Here is a 13887-nt window from a genome sequence, read left to right as displayed (position 1 = left end):
GAGAATCGCTTGAACCTGGGAGGTGGAGGGTACAGTGAGCCAAGATCATGCCATTGCACTCTAGCCTGGACGACAGAGACGTCTTAAAATAAAAAAATAAAAACATCAATCAAAAACAAAAAAAAGTGAACTGAAAGAATGAAGGAAAGCAGGTTAGTCTTGTAGACTCTTCTTCAGTGGGAAGTTTGGTTCTTTCTCTCCCTGCAGAAATGCCCTCAAAGTACGGACAGCACCATCTTGCAAGATTCCCGTACTCCATTGCTCTTACGCATCCTTTTGATGACCATGCTCAAATGGAGACATTAAAAAGACTGAGGGAAGAATGGACAGGAGTGTAGAAAACTTGGTTATTTCCATGGGTCTGCTGTTTATTCATGTTGAGCTGGGCCTCTCCTCTCATCTGTTAGCTGAGCATTCTGGCTTAGATTGTCTCATAAGCACCTTTTAAAAGCTCCAAACTTTTATGTCTCCTATGGGCCAGCAAAGTGTTTATTCCAGAAACTTTTAAAGAATCTGTTGGACTGAAACTTTTGGCTGTTTTCCTGGCCTGGTTTCACTTGGGTCTCCGAAAAAATAGTGTAGCTCTAAGTCCTCGAAGAAACCCTGTGAATCTTGGGGAGGGTAAGCATATAACTGATCATCCAAACCAGCACACTAGCCAGTAGTAATTATGCTTGAAGATCAGGCCTCAACGGAGACTGTCCTCACTACAACAGGGCACTGGGAGGAGTCCAGACTTCCTGGTCCAGCTGTTCACATGTGATCTCAGCCAGTAGACTAGCAGCTTTGTAAAGGAAGGAAAGGGATTGTTTTATTCCTTAATGGCGGCTTCCCTGAATAAGTGCCACTAAAATATGTCTCAAAATAATGAGTAAATGAAGGAGCTATGGTGTTTGTCAAGTGGAAAATTGGGCTAATGACATATTGTCTTGAGTTTCGTGTGGGGTCTGGCACACAGTCACGGAAGTACTAATTTAGGTTGTGCTTCTTCCTCTTCACCCAATCTTATAGATAAAAATTCCAAGTCTTAAACTAGCCAAGTGACTCATCTAAGAAATAATGTAAGCTCCACAAGGGCTGTGATTTTTGTCTAGTTCTTCTTTTCTTTTCTTTTCTGTAAATTCCCTTCTTAAATTTTAACTTAATTTTGCTTAATGTTGTGAGCATATCTTCATATTTAATTTATAACAAAACACTACCCATTGTTAGTTAGATTTAAACTAGAAACCTTGGCTGTTGATGTCCATGCCAGGAGTTTCACAATTACACTTCCTGCCCTATTTCTTTCCTATCCCAAAGACCCTTCCTGCACTTTCAACCTTGATGGGACAGAAAATACCTCATCATTTTTCCTCAGGAAATATGGCTCAAGTAACTCCTTCTTGCCTATCACCACACGAGTGCAAGCATACCTTGACTGTGCTGTGCAAACTATCTTTAATGAATATTGCTTTTGGCTCTAAAATTAGGTCCATCTTCCTGTGGCGGGGGCGGGGTGGAGAACTGAGGCTGGAGCAGTGGCTCGTGCCTGTAATCCCAGCACTTTAGGAAGTCAAGGTGGGCAGATCATCTGAGATCAGGAGTTTGAGACCAGCCTGGCCAACGTGGTGAAACTCTGTCTCTACTAAAAATACAAAAATTAGCCAGGTGTGGCTGTGGTCACCTGTAATCCCAGCTACTTGGGAGGCTGAGGCAGGAGAATCGCTTGAACTGGGAGGTGGAGGTTGCAGTGAGCCAAGATCACGCCACTGAACTCTAGCCTGGGCGACAGAGTGAGACTGTGTCCCAAAACAAAACAAACAACAACAACAAAATACTGAATAATATCTCCTGCAAAATTAATGTTAGTGTTTTGCTAAATGATATTTCCATTGTCTGAGACATGTGGCTTTAATGGAAGTATTATATCAGAAAAATGTAGAGAGGAAAGCATAAGGTAACTCAAATTTCTTTCAGGCTGGAAAAACTCTCGAGTCACTGAAGACAGTTTTGCCAAAAAGGATTGGCAAGAAGCAGTGATATTTGCAAATTGTTCAGTGAAACTGCTTTTATTTAGTCAATTTCATCCGGGTGTCCAACGGGTTCTCTGCACAGGGATATGTTTCTTAGACAATGACAAGTTTTAAACCAAATTATGAGCTATAGCTGAAAATATAGTCACAGAATGTCATTCCTGATTTGTTTTTGAAGCTGAAGCTACGTGGCTAGAAATATCAAAGGGGTGATCCATGAGAGTCTAAATGCTCAGTTTGAGGAGTGGGAAGACTTGAAATGACTGTGGAAATGGGCATCAAAGCAGAGAAGCATGGCCAGACATAACACTGCTTGCTCCAGGAAAGGGAGGAGAGATGGTCCCCTGAGCCAGCTGGCGTCAGACCAGTGGACTCTCCACCAATCCCCAGCAGCGTCATTCCCTCATACATGGATCCAACTTTGCAACCAAACTCTGCATCAGAGATCCAAGAGAGAATACCTCCCAGAGGGCTAAACTAAGCTCTTCAGAGTTTATGCTCAACTTGTGGGGGGAGAGCCATTCTTCGCTGGCTTAACACCAAGGAGATCTGAATGCTAAAAGGAACCAGTCAGGAAGGAACAGTGTTAGAATAAGACTGGCTTTGGAGTCCAGAGAGGCAGGTTTATAATTTCAGATTTAGCTTTGAACCATGGGGAAAGCATAATCTTCTTTAATCCTCAATTTGCTCGTCTGTAAAATGGGGAGAATTTTTGCCTTATTAAGTTGTTCTGGGATGTGTTTAAGCATAAGGAGATAATAAATTCCAGCATTCTCCTCCCTCTGGTTTGGAGAGTAGAAATATTTTCTTAATGATGTCTGTCACTGGAATGCAAAGTCTGCCTACTCAGAGGGACCTAGAGGCTGCCTGGTGCTGGAACATACTTGGGGATAAAATGACATCGTACTATTTAATCAGAATCATAAGATCATCATGTGGGTCACTTGGGTGACACAAAGAATCAGAGCTTTGGTCTTTGTCTTATTGACCTATCTTCTAAAATGGTTTCAGGTTCTCTAGGACCTCACTGTCTATAGAGACTCACTGAAGAAAACACCTTCATTCAACCAAGTCTCTTGGTTTTGTATGTGCTGCAACTTGGTTTCACTCTAAGGTTGTGTCTGACTGAACATATGACTGATATTGGATCACATTGCCTCAGGATGGTGACCTTCCTTTCATGTGGGCTAGCACTAGATAGATATGTGTTCTTCAGCGTGGGCTGGAGAGGCAGTCTGGTCAGTTAAAAAGGGAATAGTTTGGCATCAGATACATACGGGCTTTTGAAAAGGTTGTCCTTGAGCAAGCTATTCAGCCTCACTAAACCTCAGTTTGCTCATCTGTAAAGTAGAGATATTATTCTATCACATATATTTATTAGAAGTAATGTACACAAAATGTTTAACACACATAATAAGCCCTCAGTACACCACTATTGCAAATATTTCAATGTTAAATATTCCAACTTGAGAACTCGCCAACATTCCTTGCCGTGTACTCAATTTAACTCCACACATGGACATGCACATACACACCATTTTAAAACTGATTTCATATTTAAAAGTTGTGTTGGGGAAATAAATATTTTTATTATTATTTTATGAAAATGTCAACATTTATTTTAGATATAGGGGGTACAGGTGCGGATGTGTTGCATTGGAATATTGCTTGATGCTGAGGTTTGGAGTATGGATCCCATCACCCTGGTAGTGAGCATAGTAGATTTTATTTTAGAGATATAAAACAATGTCCTAGAAATCTGCATGTTTCAAAGACCTCCTTTAATCACATACCTATTGTTTTCAGAGGAAAAAAGGAGGTGAAAAGAAGAAAAGTATCCTGTCTATGTCAAGGAGAAAACTAGCGACTATTTCCAGAAATACTCAATTACTCTTTTTGCTAAATGAAACAATTTTACAAGGATTATACTATTGCTCTGGTGTCTAATGTGGGTGTGCTCCCATTAGTCCACTTTGCAACTGTCCCAGAAGTACAGTCCAATTAGTCAGTATAGTGTTGACTGAGCCATTTGTGTGTTGATTGAAATCTCACCATTTTATTGCATGAAGATGGAAAATTGCCCGAATTGGCCAAACTTGTGCTATTCTCACTCAAGTTTTAGAAGAAAAGTCTCCCTTTAAGACCATTATATATGATGAGATATTGTCTGGGTTATAGTTAGTAGGTCATTAAAGGGATTGTCTGAAAGATCTGGCCACACAATGGAAGACCGGTTCAGCTTCCTCCATCTGTGTGACCTTCATAGGCATGGACACTTCTGTTCTTATTCCTGCTCTGCTCATTCCTGTTTTGTAGGAACCCTAGGAACATTACTTAACCTTTCTGCACCTTATCATCCTCACTAATAAAGCTTGAGAGAGTAATCCCTCCCTGAAAGAGTTGCCATGATAGTCAAATAAGGCAACATGTACAAAGAGCTTAAGAAAGTGCCTGGAGCGTAAAGGGGTTCCGCAAATGACAGCCATGATTATTAGCATTATGAATTCCTCAAGATGTGTTCAGTTCCTTCGTGATTCTTAAGTGCTTTTGGGAATAAATGACAGAATAAAGTGAAATCATTTGGTAAATTCTGCATCTAGGAAACCACTTAATGGCAGGCAAATTGGCCTCCAGTTGGTGACTGTTTGAAACATGATTCATTTTCAAAACTTTGAACTATTTTGAGAAGTTAACTATATCATGCATTTTTTAAACAATTATGGTAACATAGCTTTTGCCAAAGAATGACATAATTTGACCTTCCTTGGGTAAAGGATGAGGACATAAAGATAATGAAGAAGAGAGGAATAGAAGAGCTTTATACCAAAGGGACCAAACAAAAAAATGTTCAATTTTTTTAAAGTTCAAATTCTTTTAAGAATTTGGTAAATTTCATAATTCTCAGCTTTTATAATTTTTTTCTACTTCATCTCTATTTCCCCAAGCATGTGAGTAATCATGTCTAAAAAAGCTTAACTTCTTACTGGCTGTGTAATATTAGATAAGTCATTTAATCTGATACCTCAGTTTCTTTATCCATAACTTGGAGATAAAATAATATTTACATATAGTGTTGTTAGGGACATTCAATAAAATAATTCAGAAAAAGGACTTAGCAATGAATCTGTTTTAAAGTCATATTTGAAAAAAAATTAAGACCAATAAATAATAGTTAACTTTCTTCTTCCTCCAGACTTCTAGTTTTAAAAACAAACAAATGAAGAGTTCAATGAGCTTAACCAGGAGAATCAGAAAAATTTTCAAATGGCAGCAGATTCAGCCACGAGAAACTGGGAAATGTGGGAGGTGGCAGTTTCAAAGTGGAAATGACTCAGGGCTGGTTCTCTGGATCTGCAAGAAGGAAGCAGGGAGAATGAGAAAGCTTCCTTCAGACAGAGATGAGATCCTTAAGTGTGACCCTCAACTCTGTTGCAAGATAACACAAGGCCTTAAATGTCCCCCTCACAGTGATACAAGTTCTTCAGATAAAGGCACTAGGTCACTGTCTCCTCAGAATGACCATCATCAAAACCACCAAAGGAGGCTGGGCACGGTATCTCACGCCTGTAATCCTAGCACTTTGGGAGGATAAGGTGGGCAGATCACCTGAGGTCGGGAGTTTGAGACCAGCCTGACCAACACAGAGAAACCCCATCTCTACTAAAAATACAAAATTAGTGGGGAGTGGTGGTGCACGCCAGCTACTCAGAAGGCTGAGGCAGGAGAATCACTTGAACCCGGGAGGTGGAGGTCGCGGTGAGCCGAGATTGTGCCATTGCACTCCAGCCTGGGCGACAAGAGCGTGTAACTCTGTCTCAAAAACAAACAAAACAAACAAACACCAAAGGATATTTTAAACAAAGTCCTTATGAACTTCATTGTCTGTATTAAATATTCAACACATCTTTCTAACAGGACGTTCCACCTGTTAAGGGTAAACATATGATGGAAGTATTGCCTCCTGAGAAAGCACAGTGTTCTGATGGACAGACTAAGTAGAGGCATATCTTAGAAACATGCCCCAGACGGAACAGTAATGGCCTGTGAATCTGTGCTTCCACAGCCTGCACCTACAGATCTACACACATGCCCATGCACATGCAGGAAGTGTTCATCTAAGACTGGACCTTTTAGAAGAAAGCTGGCATACATTCGTGAAGGCATGGGCTTCCAGGCATGTCATCTTCACTCACGAAGGTGAGTACCTCCATAGATAAGAAATGTTCTCAGCCATCATAACCTAGCTACAACCAAATTATAAGCTTTAAAAGCTTCTGCCTTAGATTAATGTATCACAAAGGGCGATATCCCTCCTATCATGTTGTTGAAGATGTCAACATTTTAAGTAATATCCACACTTTGCATGTCCCTCGCCTCCTGACTATTCCTAGGATAAACCCTAACATCCCCCATATAGGTAATGGGCTTCATGAGTAAAGAGTAATTCATTTTGGTAGCTCTTATAATGCTGAGATCAAGTCCACAAAAAGTGAATGTTTGAAAGTAGGAGGGAGAGAAGGATGAAAGAAGGAGAGAACAATTAGGGGAGGTAGTAGCCTGAATGCATTGATCCTAATAGTTGCAAATGTACAACCAGGCACATCTTCCCAATAAACTCACTTCTATTAATACCTGCTACAAAACCAAGCCTAGTCTTGGCTACTGACATTCAACTCTTCAAGGTAAACAGAAATCACCCTTTACTGGGGCCATCTCAAAAAGTAATTAACTCTTTACCATGATAACAAATTCTCAGATCACTGAAAAATTAAAAACAAAAACCAAAAAAACAGAATCCTAGAGTCTGGTCAGAGCGGAACCAGCAGTAGAATTCAAAGTTCTAAAATAGAGGGACAGTGTTGTATTCCACTTCATACATATCCCAGCACAGAGATATCACTAGGCATTTGGTGGTTGCCCTATAAATAGTAGATGAGTGAGTCACAAAAATAAAATTAACTCAGCCTGGCCAACATGGTGAAACCCTGTCTCTACTAAAAATACAAAAAAAAAAAAAAAATTAGCTGGGCATGGTGGCAGGCACCTGTAATCCCAGCTACTGGATAGCTGAGGCAGGAGAATTGCTTGAACCCAAGAGGCAGAGGTTGCAGTGAGCCAAGAACGTACCATTGCACTACAGCCTGGGCGACAAGAGTGAAACTCCATCTCAAAAAAAAAAAAAAAAAAAAAAAATTAACTTTTAGATTGTTATTAAATGTTTTACTTGTGAAAAAAAAGTTTAAAGAGTTTAGGTATATTCTCCATGATTACAGTAAGAATGCAACTAGCTGGTCTCCAAGTGCAGTGTTATGTCTACAGCATTAGTCTGTCCCAATGTAAATGAATGAAAGGTGTCACACCTGCAATTGATGCTGCAAGAATCAGAGAGTAAGTAAAGAAAAATTAGTGTCTGATGGGAGAGCAATGTCTCCTTGCTTACACTCCCAAGATCAGATATACTTTGCACCTTCATAAAATCAGATCTTGGACCAGCTCTAATAAATATGAGTGCATACATGGTATTGAACCCAAAGCTCTTATCCTTTCTCTAGCCTCTAATTTCCAATGCAACCTTTGGCACAACCCTTCACCACTTCCCACCTGTAAGACAGGAAGAGTGGGGATCAACAATCTCTTCAATCTCTAATCCCTCCAGTCACTTTAAAAAGTTGTTAATTCTACAGCATAACTCCATGTTTTTGTGTTCTGAAATCACCACCGACTGAGCTGCTGCAGAGACAACCAATCTTTACTCAGGACAAATATTTTGTCACATTGCACAGAAAAGATAGTAGGTAGTGATGTACTGTGAGTCTCTAAACTTTATCATAAAGCAACCAGAAAGAAGGGGATATTTTGCAACTCTTGTCAGTGTAGTGTCTATGCCAGCAAGAACTTCTAAACAGAAGTGCTGTGAATTCAAGGCAAAAGATTTATGATGTTGATGGAGTGGGAGGTGGGAGAGATCCTTCTAGTAATCCAAGCAAGGCAACATGGACTATAATTGGCATCTGAAGTTTTTTGTTCTTTTTTCCCTTGGAGCTCTCTGCTCGGGCTTGATGCTGTTGTTTTCCCTGAGAGAGAATGCAGCTGTCGCTGTATGCCTTGGGGGTAGATATCCATCACCCGGAACGTATCACAAACTATTAATAATGCATCACTGCAAATCTACCTTGTCTCCATAAACACCCTGTCTCCAAGTACAGATAAAAGGTCCAACAAGCAGATGTTGGGATTTATTATCCCCACATTTCCCATTTCTCTAAGGATGGTGCCCAGTATCTGAGTTCTCCTGTGGGTAGTGTAGGAATGGGAAACTAATATTTACTGAGTGACTTCTGTGTGTCAGTTGCTTATGTGAAATCATATTAGCAGCCCTGAGAAATAGGTTTTATTAACCCCATTTTGCAGATGAGGAAGCTGAGGCTTAGAGAGAAGTGACTTGCCTAACGATACTCAGCTTGCAACCCATCTCCCAGAGTCTTACTCTAGAGATCTTTCTTAATCCTCTGTAGCAGATGACCATTAGATGGTTTGGGACTTTGCATTTTTATCTTTCCTACTGTACCTACCATACCCTTGTATACAGTAGGTACTAAGATAAGCTTCGCCAAATTCAATTTTTAAAAGGTGGACCCCAGAAAAAGGCCTACAGAGCTGCTATCTGGAAATAAATTCCTACACATGAAGCAGGAGTAAGAACCTACAGGGCACAGAGCAATTTCCCTAAGAGCTGGTTGCTTCCTGAGACCACTTCGCCCTTGTTCTTCCTGATTGTTTGTCATATACATAGTGTCTGTGACTGGGTTGATAAAGAGTCAGCCCTTTTCTAACCCTTGATTACACAATATAGCCAGTTGCACTCATACTTGTCTGTTTTGATCTATATACATCTGCCCTGCTTGGTCAGGGTGGGGCTGTTTCATGTAGTCCCTTGACCTTGTATGTTAGCCTTGTATATGGGCAGTGGGAAAAAAAAACAGACCAACACTGTTAACCCTCTGTGCTCTGTGCTTCTGCCCCTCCCCACCTACCACATGATTAACTCCTTTTCAGGAGCAAACAGTGGAGCTGCTGAACATTCAATGGGCCACGATTCCCTAATGGATGGCACACACTGTGCTAAAAAGTAATGAGCTTCTAGTTATCAGTGCACTCTTCAGACCAGCCTGCCTCATCCATGCAGCTGATCTGGGAAGAGGACCATTCAGGCCCAACTGCTGGAGATTTAAAGAGGAGAGATGAGGAAGACAGCCACAGCTCCACCACAGTCTCTTTAGTGCTATAAAGGAAGTTATGGAGTCATGCCTGAACTAAGAATATAATTGATACTATGTTTCCCCATAATTATGGCTTCATTGTGCCCGTAGCCCCTTAAGTCCACAAATCCACAATGGAGGAGGGGATTTAGGCACCAAAATCCCACACAAATTTCTAGCTGCTCACTAAATTGTGCTTTTTGTGAAGGCCAGGAAACTGTCAACATTTGTACCATAGCTATGTAGAGTGAGCTGGTAATTATCATTCTCAAATCATCCCAATTAGGTCACATTTTAATCTCTGTTATATCAATGAGGAAACTGAGGCTTGCAAATACTTCAGGTAGCTTACCCAAGTTGTACAGCTGGTCAAAGGCAAAATTGAGATTTAACAACGGCCTAGAGAAAAATGCACTTTTTGGCATTGAGCTTCAGTTCTGGCTGTTTAGGAGAAAGCAACATATATCCTTAGCCCTCAAGGAAATAAAAAAACATGGAAACTTAAATTCCCCAGGTACCCAGGTGCCCTTGAAGGAAATCATTCATCCATTTCCCTTTGAAACAGTTTTCAGAGATAGCCCGAATGTTGTGCAAGGGAGTTCTCGTAAAAATAGGCATTGCTCACCGGGGTCCATTTCTGCAGCCACAGGAGGATGAAAAACCCCAAGTAGTCATAAGAAAAACGAACAATTTTACTGACAAATTAAAGGTTTGAGAGGCAGCAGGAGAAACTGGTCAGCTGCAACTTCAGAGAAAGCTGCACTGAACATTTCAAAGCCTCGACTTTAATTAGGAAGGGAGAAGCTGTGGTCTGGGAAGTGGTCCCCGATGGGTGTGCGCCCGGCATTAAATATGCCTTCTTGTACTCAGCAGGGTTTGAAGTTTTTTAAGGAGGGACTGAATAGCAGGAGAGAGAGGGGTGGAAAAGAAAGAGAGAGAGAGCAAGAGAGAGAGGAGGGAGATGTTTGATCTGCCAGCAGTCTTGCCCTGTTCATCAAATTGTACACCCTAAGAATGGGATTTTAGAGATTGCCAATTGCAAAGTGAAGACCAGAGTTGGTGAGTAACTGGCCCAGGCTTCTCATCTTGGCAATAAAGACTGGCATTCATTGAATAAATGAATAAGAAATTTTGATGAAGCACCTTAATATAAGTATAATATGTATTATAATGTCTATAATCATCATAGTCCGTATTCTGTTATCCACATTTTATAGAAAAACAAGACTGAAGCTCAGAAAGTTTAAGCATGCTATTCTACATTTTATAAGCGGCAGAGCAATTGCTGTCTTTTCCTATGTCCTCTGAACTCTTCAGAAGCCTCTAAGATATATATGCCTCCAGGAAGTCTTCCTCATTGCCTTGGGTCAGAGTTAAGTGCCACTGCCTGTGAGTTTCTAAGCCATCCAAGTACTTGAGACTTGTATTGTAATGGCCCATTTACATTCCTCTATCCCTGACTAGACCTTGAGCTCCCTAATCCAGGCACCTTGCTAGCTTTGTCTGTGGTCTCACCCCAGCCCTGAACATAGTTCAGCTGATTCTATGAAAGTGAGATCTTGAACACTCTTGAATCTTCTTTTCCATCCTCCAGGAGAGTAGTCGCTACTCAGATCTCCTTTCTCACACAAAGTCCAAGTTCTCAATCTTGATCTTCATCCTCTTTCTTGCTCTTCATCATCCTCCCTCTCTCATTCCTCATAAAACTCTGCCGTCAGCTCCACTCAAGAGGAAAATTACTCAATACATGACATCACTCCAAGGCATAAGTAATAGAAAAGTACCATTCATTTTTTATCCCAGAGATGTCTGTAGTTTCAGCAACAGAATGTCATCTATTGAGATGCAAATGATAACAGCAGTGATGACAATAATAGCTGACATCCACTAAGAATTTACTATGTGCCCTCCTTTTGCAAGGATTTCCTCATTTAATTCTCACAACAATCATGAAATGCATGAAGTATTCTCATCCCTGTGTTATAAATTAAGGAACTAAGGCTCATAGATGCCAAGTCCTCACTCAAGAACACACAGTCATAATTGGAATGTAGCTATGTCTAATTTCAAAGGCAATCAAGTTTCTTACATCAGCAGACTTTAAAAAAATGTTAAATATAAGGAACAGCAGAAATGGTCATATATTGACTGTCTATTATGCACAGGCACTATTATGCACTCCATATATATTAAGTCATTTACTGAGTTAATGCACCCAGAAATAAAGTTAGTACCTTTTAGTGGATTGATACAAATGGGACTTATGGAGCTAAATTGATTTAGAGAGGTTAGGACAAGCAGCTGGACCAAACGACCTCTTGAGTTTCATTCCATGATTCACAGACACTATTCCAAAGATATATGAGGCCACATGACAAACCAGCAAGGAAGATATACAGGTCTTTAAGCATCATTTTATCACATAGTGAAGGCAAGGACTCCTCTATCTTTGCCTTGGGGTTGTTCCCATAGGGCTCCATGGTGTGACAAATTGGGTATGTGGCACCTCCTGTAGGAAGGCCCTGCTCCCAGTGGCTGCTGGGCCACGTCTTAACACAATCTCTGGCTTCAGGGTGGAATGGCAATTATTTAAAATTGGCTCAGGTCTGCATACTCCACTGGATTCTTTTTTATCCCACTTTAAGTCTTTCCCTTGGGACAGCTTAAACAGCTTTATCTTTTTAATGACAAAATGCCCATCGATAGGACTGGAAATGAAATCAAGCTTTTGCTTAGCAACCAGTCCGTTTATTTATTTTCCAAGTTCATGAGTTTATATGCATGCTGCTCTTAATGGGCAGTGCATAAAAATGCCTCTTTTTATTTTCTTTTCATTTACATTGTTGCGGATAATGGCTATTATCAAGCCATTAGAAGCAAGAAAGTACTGCTTTTGCCTCCCAAGATGGGCTGCAATTGTGTATGCGCTCTCTATGCAGATTGGCCAATATGTTAAACTTTCTTTTTCCATCTTCATCTGATACAGATAGCTTTATGTCAGCAATATAATTTTCCTCTTGATGCATAGAAGTACATAAATATGTATAGACATGAAAGTATATATGAACATACACTTACACATATAAACACAAAGTAAATACCGACATCATATATGTATATACACAGATGCACAGACACAGACACACACACACACACAGAGAAAGAAATCTCCTTTTTCAATTAAAATGAAATTCTATGGCAGAAATGTAAAATAAATTCTAATCCACATCAGATTCTAAGACATTGTTACATAAATCTATGACACCATGGTCTGTTTTAAACAAAAGAAAGGATGGACTCAGTCCACATATAGCCCATTGAAGCTTTCATAGTTAACGAAAGTCATTTTTAGGTTGTGTCTGAGAGGCACAGTCATATGGATTAAAAACTAAGGAGCGTCATTCTTTATTCAGATGTTTCCAAATGTCTACTTAATGTATACTGGCAAAATCATCAAATTCAGGAATTGACATTTTTAAAAAATACATCCATTCTTTCAGAGTGTCTGTGGGTGATTAGGTTATTTCACTAGGGGAGAAGAGGGGGCTCAGTTTTGTTTACTGTAGCATTTTAGGTGAGATGGGCAAAGTAAAGATAAACAGCATTTGTTGAGTATCATTATACTCTTGGTCTTTTAGTAAATATTATTTGACATTGTCATCTATGAGGAAGGTCGTGCTTTAAAATTCACATTACTTCTGCAAAGTATTATCTACATTTTATTGTTGATGGAGCTGGGACAGAGATCGTTGGCAGCTAGAAAAGGTCAGATTGACAAAAACACAGTGAAGCAAGGCCTAGGTATTTGGTAGTTACAGAAACATTAAGCCTGGTTCTGTGATTGATATCAAGACCTGGAGTGATGGCATGTAGTAAAGCAATGGTTCTCCACTGGGGGGATTTTGCCCCCCAGGGGAAAATCATTATGTCTGGAGACATTTTTGGTTGTCACATTAAAGGTGGAGGTGCTATTGGCGTACAGTAGGTAGAAGTGGAACTGCTGCAAAACATTCTGAATGTACAGGACTGCTTCCCACAATAAAGAAATATGAGGTCTAAAATGTCAGTATTGCAGAGGTGGAGGAAGCCCCCCTCTTCCATCTAAGACTCCAAGTGTTCTTCTGTATTTTATAGTCCTGGCCACTTTTATGTATCAGCATTCTAACCAAGATCTGGAAAACAAATGTGACATTAGCATGTGTCTTGGGACGAAGCGCAAGGTAGAGGAACTAAATGCCAACCCTGACTCTACTACCTATAACGTGCATCTGGCAGGAGTGACTTACCCTCTTGGTGACTCAGTTTCTTTATCTGCAAGTTTAAGAAAATACTAGTACACACCTCATCAGGCTGATGCAAGAATTAGATGAGATAATGCATATAAAGAGTTAATGAGACAGGGTGCAGAGTAAATGTTTAACCACTTAGTTGTTATTTTTATTTTAATTGCTGTTATTTTAACTTTTTGGTATTTGCTATGTCCGTTTTCTGGAGAGCACTCAGTTTTTAATACTATATTTTCCTTTTTGAATTAGCAAATGTTATTTTTATAGACCAGTTTTAGGTTCACAGCAAAATTGAGTGAAAAGTATATGGAGTTCTTATACTACTCTTGT

General features: G+C 40.1%; 2 long non-coding RNA genes across 3 annotated transcripts in view, besides 1 other annotated feature; one reads left to right on the top strand and one right to left on the bottom strand.

Moving 5' to 3' along the window:
* The window catches only part of LOC124903780 (uncharacterized), a 161687-nt gene that overhangs the window by 76108 nt on the left and 71692 nt on the right, over positions 1-13887 (bottom strand). The gene's annotated exons all lie outside the window — the stretch shown is intronic.
* Positions 1-13887, top strand: part of LINC00922 (long intergenic non-protein coding RNA 922) — a 291796-nt gene that overhangs the window by 258675 nt on the left and 19234 nt on the right. Inside the window, exon 8 of one of the 2 annotated variants that reach the window (NR_027755.2) lies at positions 6076-6209. This is a non-coding gene — a long non-coding RNA (long intergenic non-protein coding RNA 922). Of the gene's footprint in view, positions 1-5927; positions 6210-13887 lie in introns of both variants that reach the window. The other variant, NR_174971.1, reaches the window with a different exon arrangement.
* Positions 10304-11172: an enhancer, noted in NCBI's record as "OCT4-NANOG hESC enhancer chr16:65340354-65341222 (GRCh37/hg19 assembly coordinates)". NCBI's record gives its function as "activates a minimal SCP1, AML or CMV promoter by ChIP-STARR-seq in primed H9 embryonic stem cells {active_cell/tissue: H9 hESC(primed)}" and the evidence as "EXISTENCE:reporter gene assay evidence [ECO:0000049][PMID:30033119]".

The sequence above is a fragment of the Homo sapiens genome, chromosome 16 (assembly GCF_000001405.40).
Source record: "Homo sapiens chromosome 16, GRCh38.p14 Primary Assembly".
Taxonomy (NCBI): Eukaryota; Metazoa; Chordata; class Mammalia; order Primates; family Hominidae; genus Homo; species Homo sapiens.
This window is presented reverse-complemented; position numbering and strand designations above follow the sequence as displayed.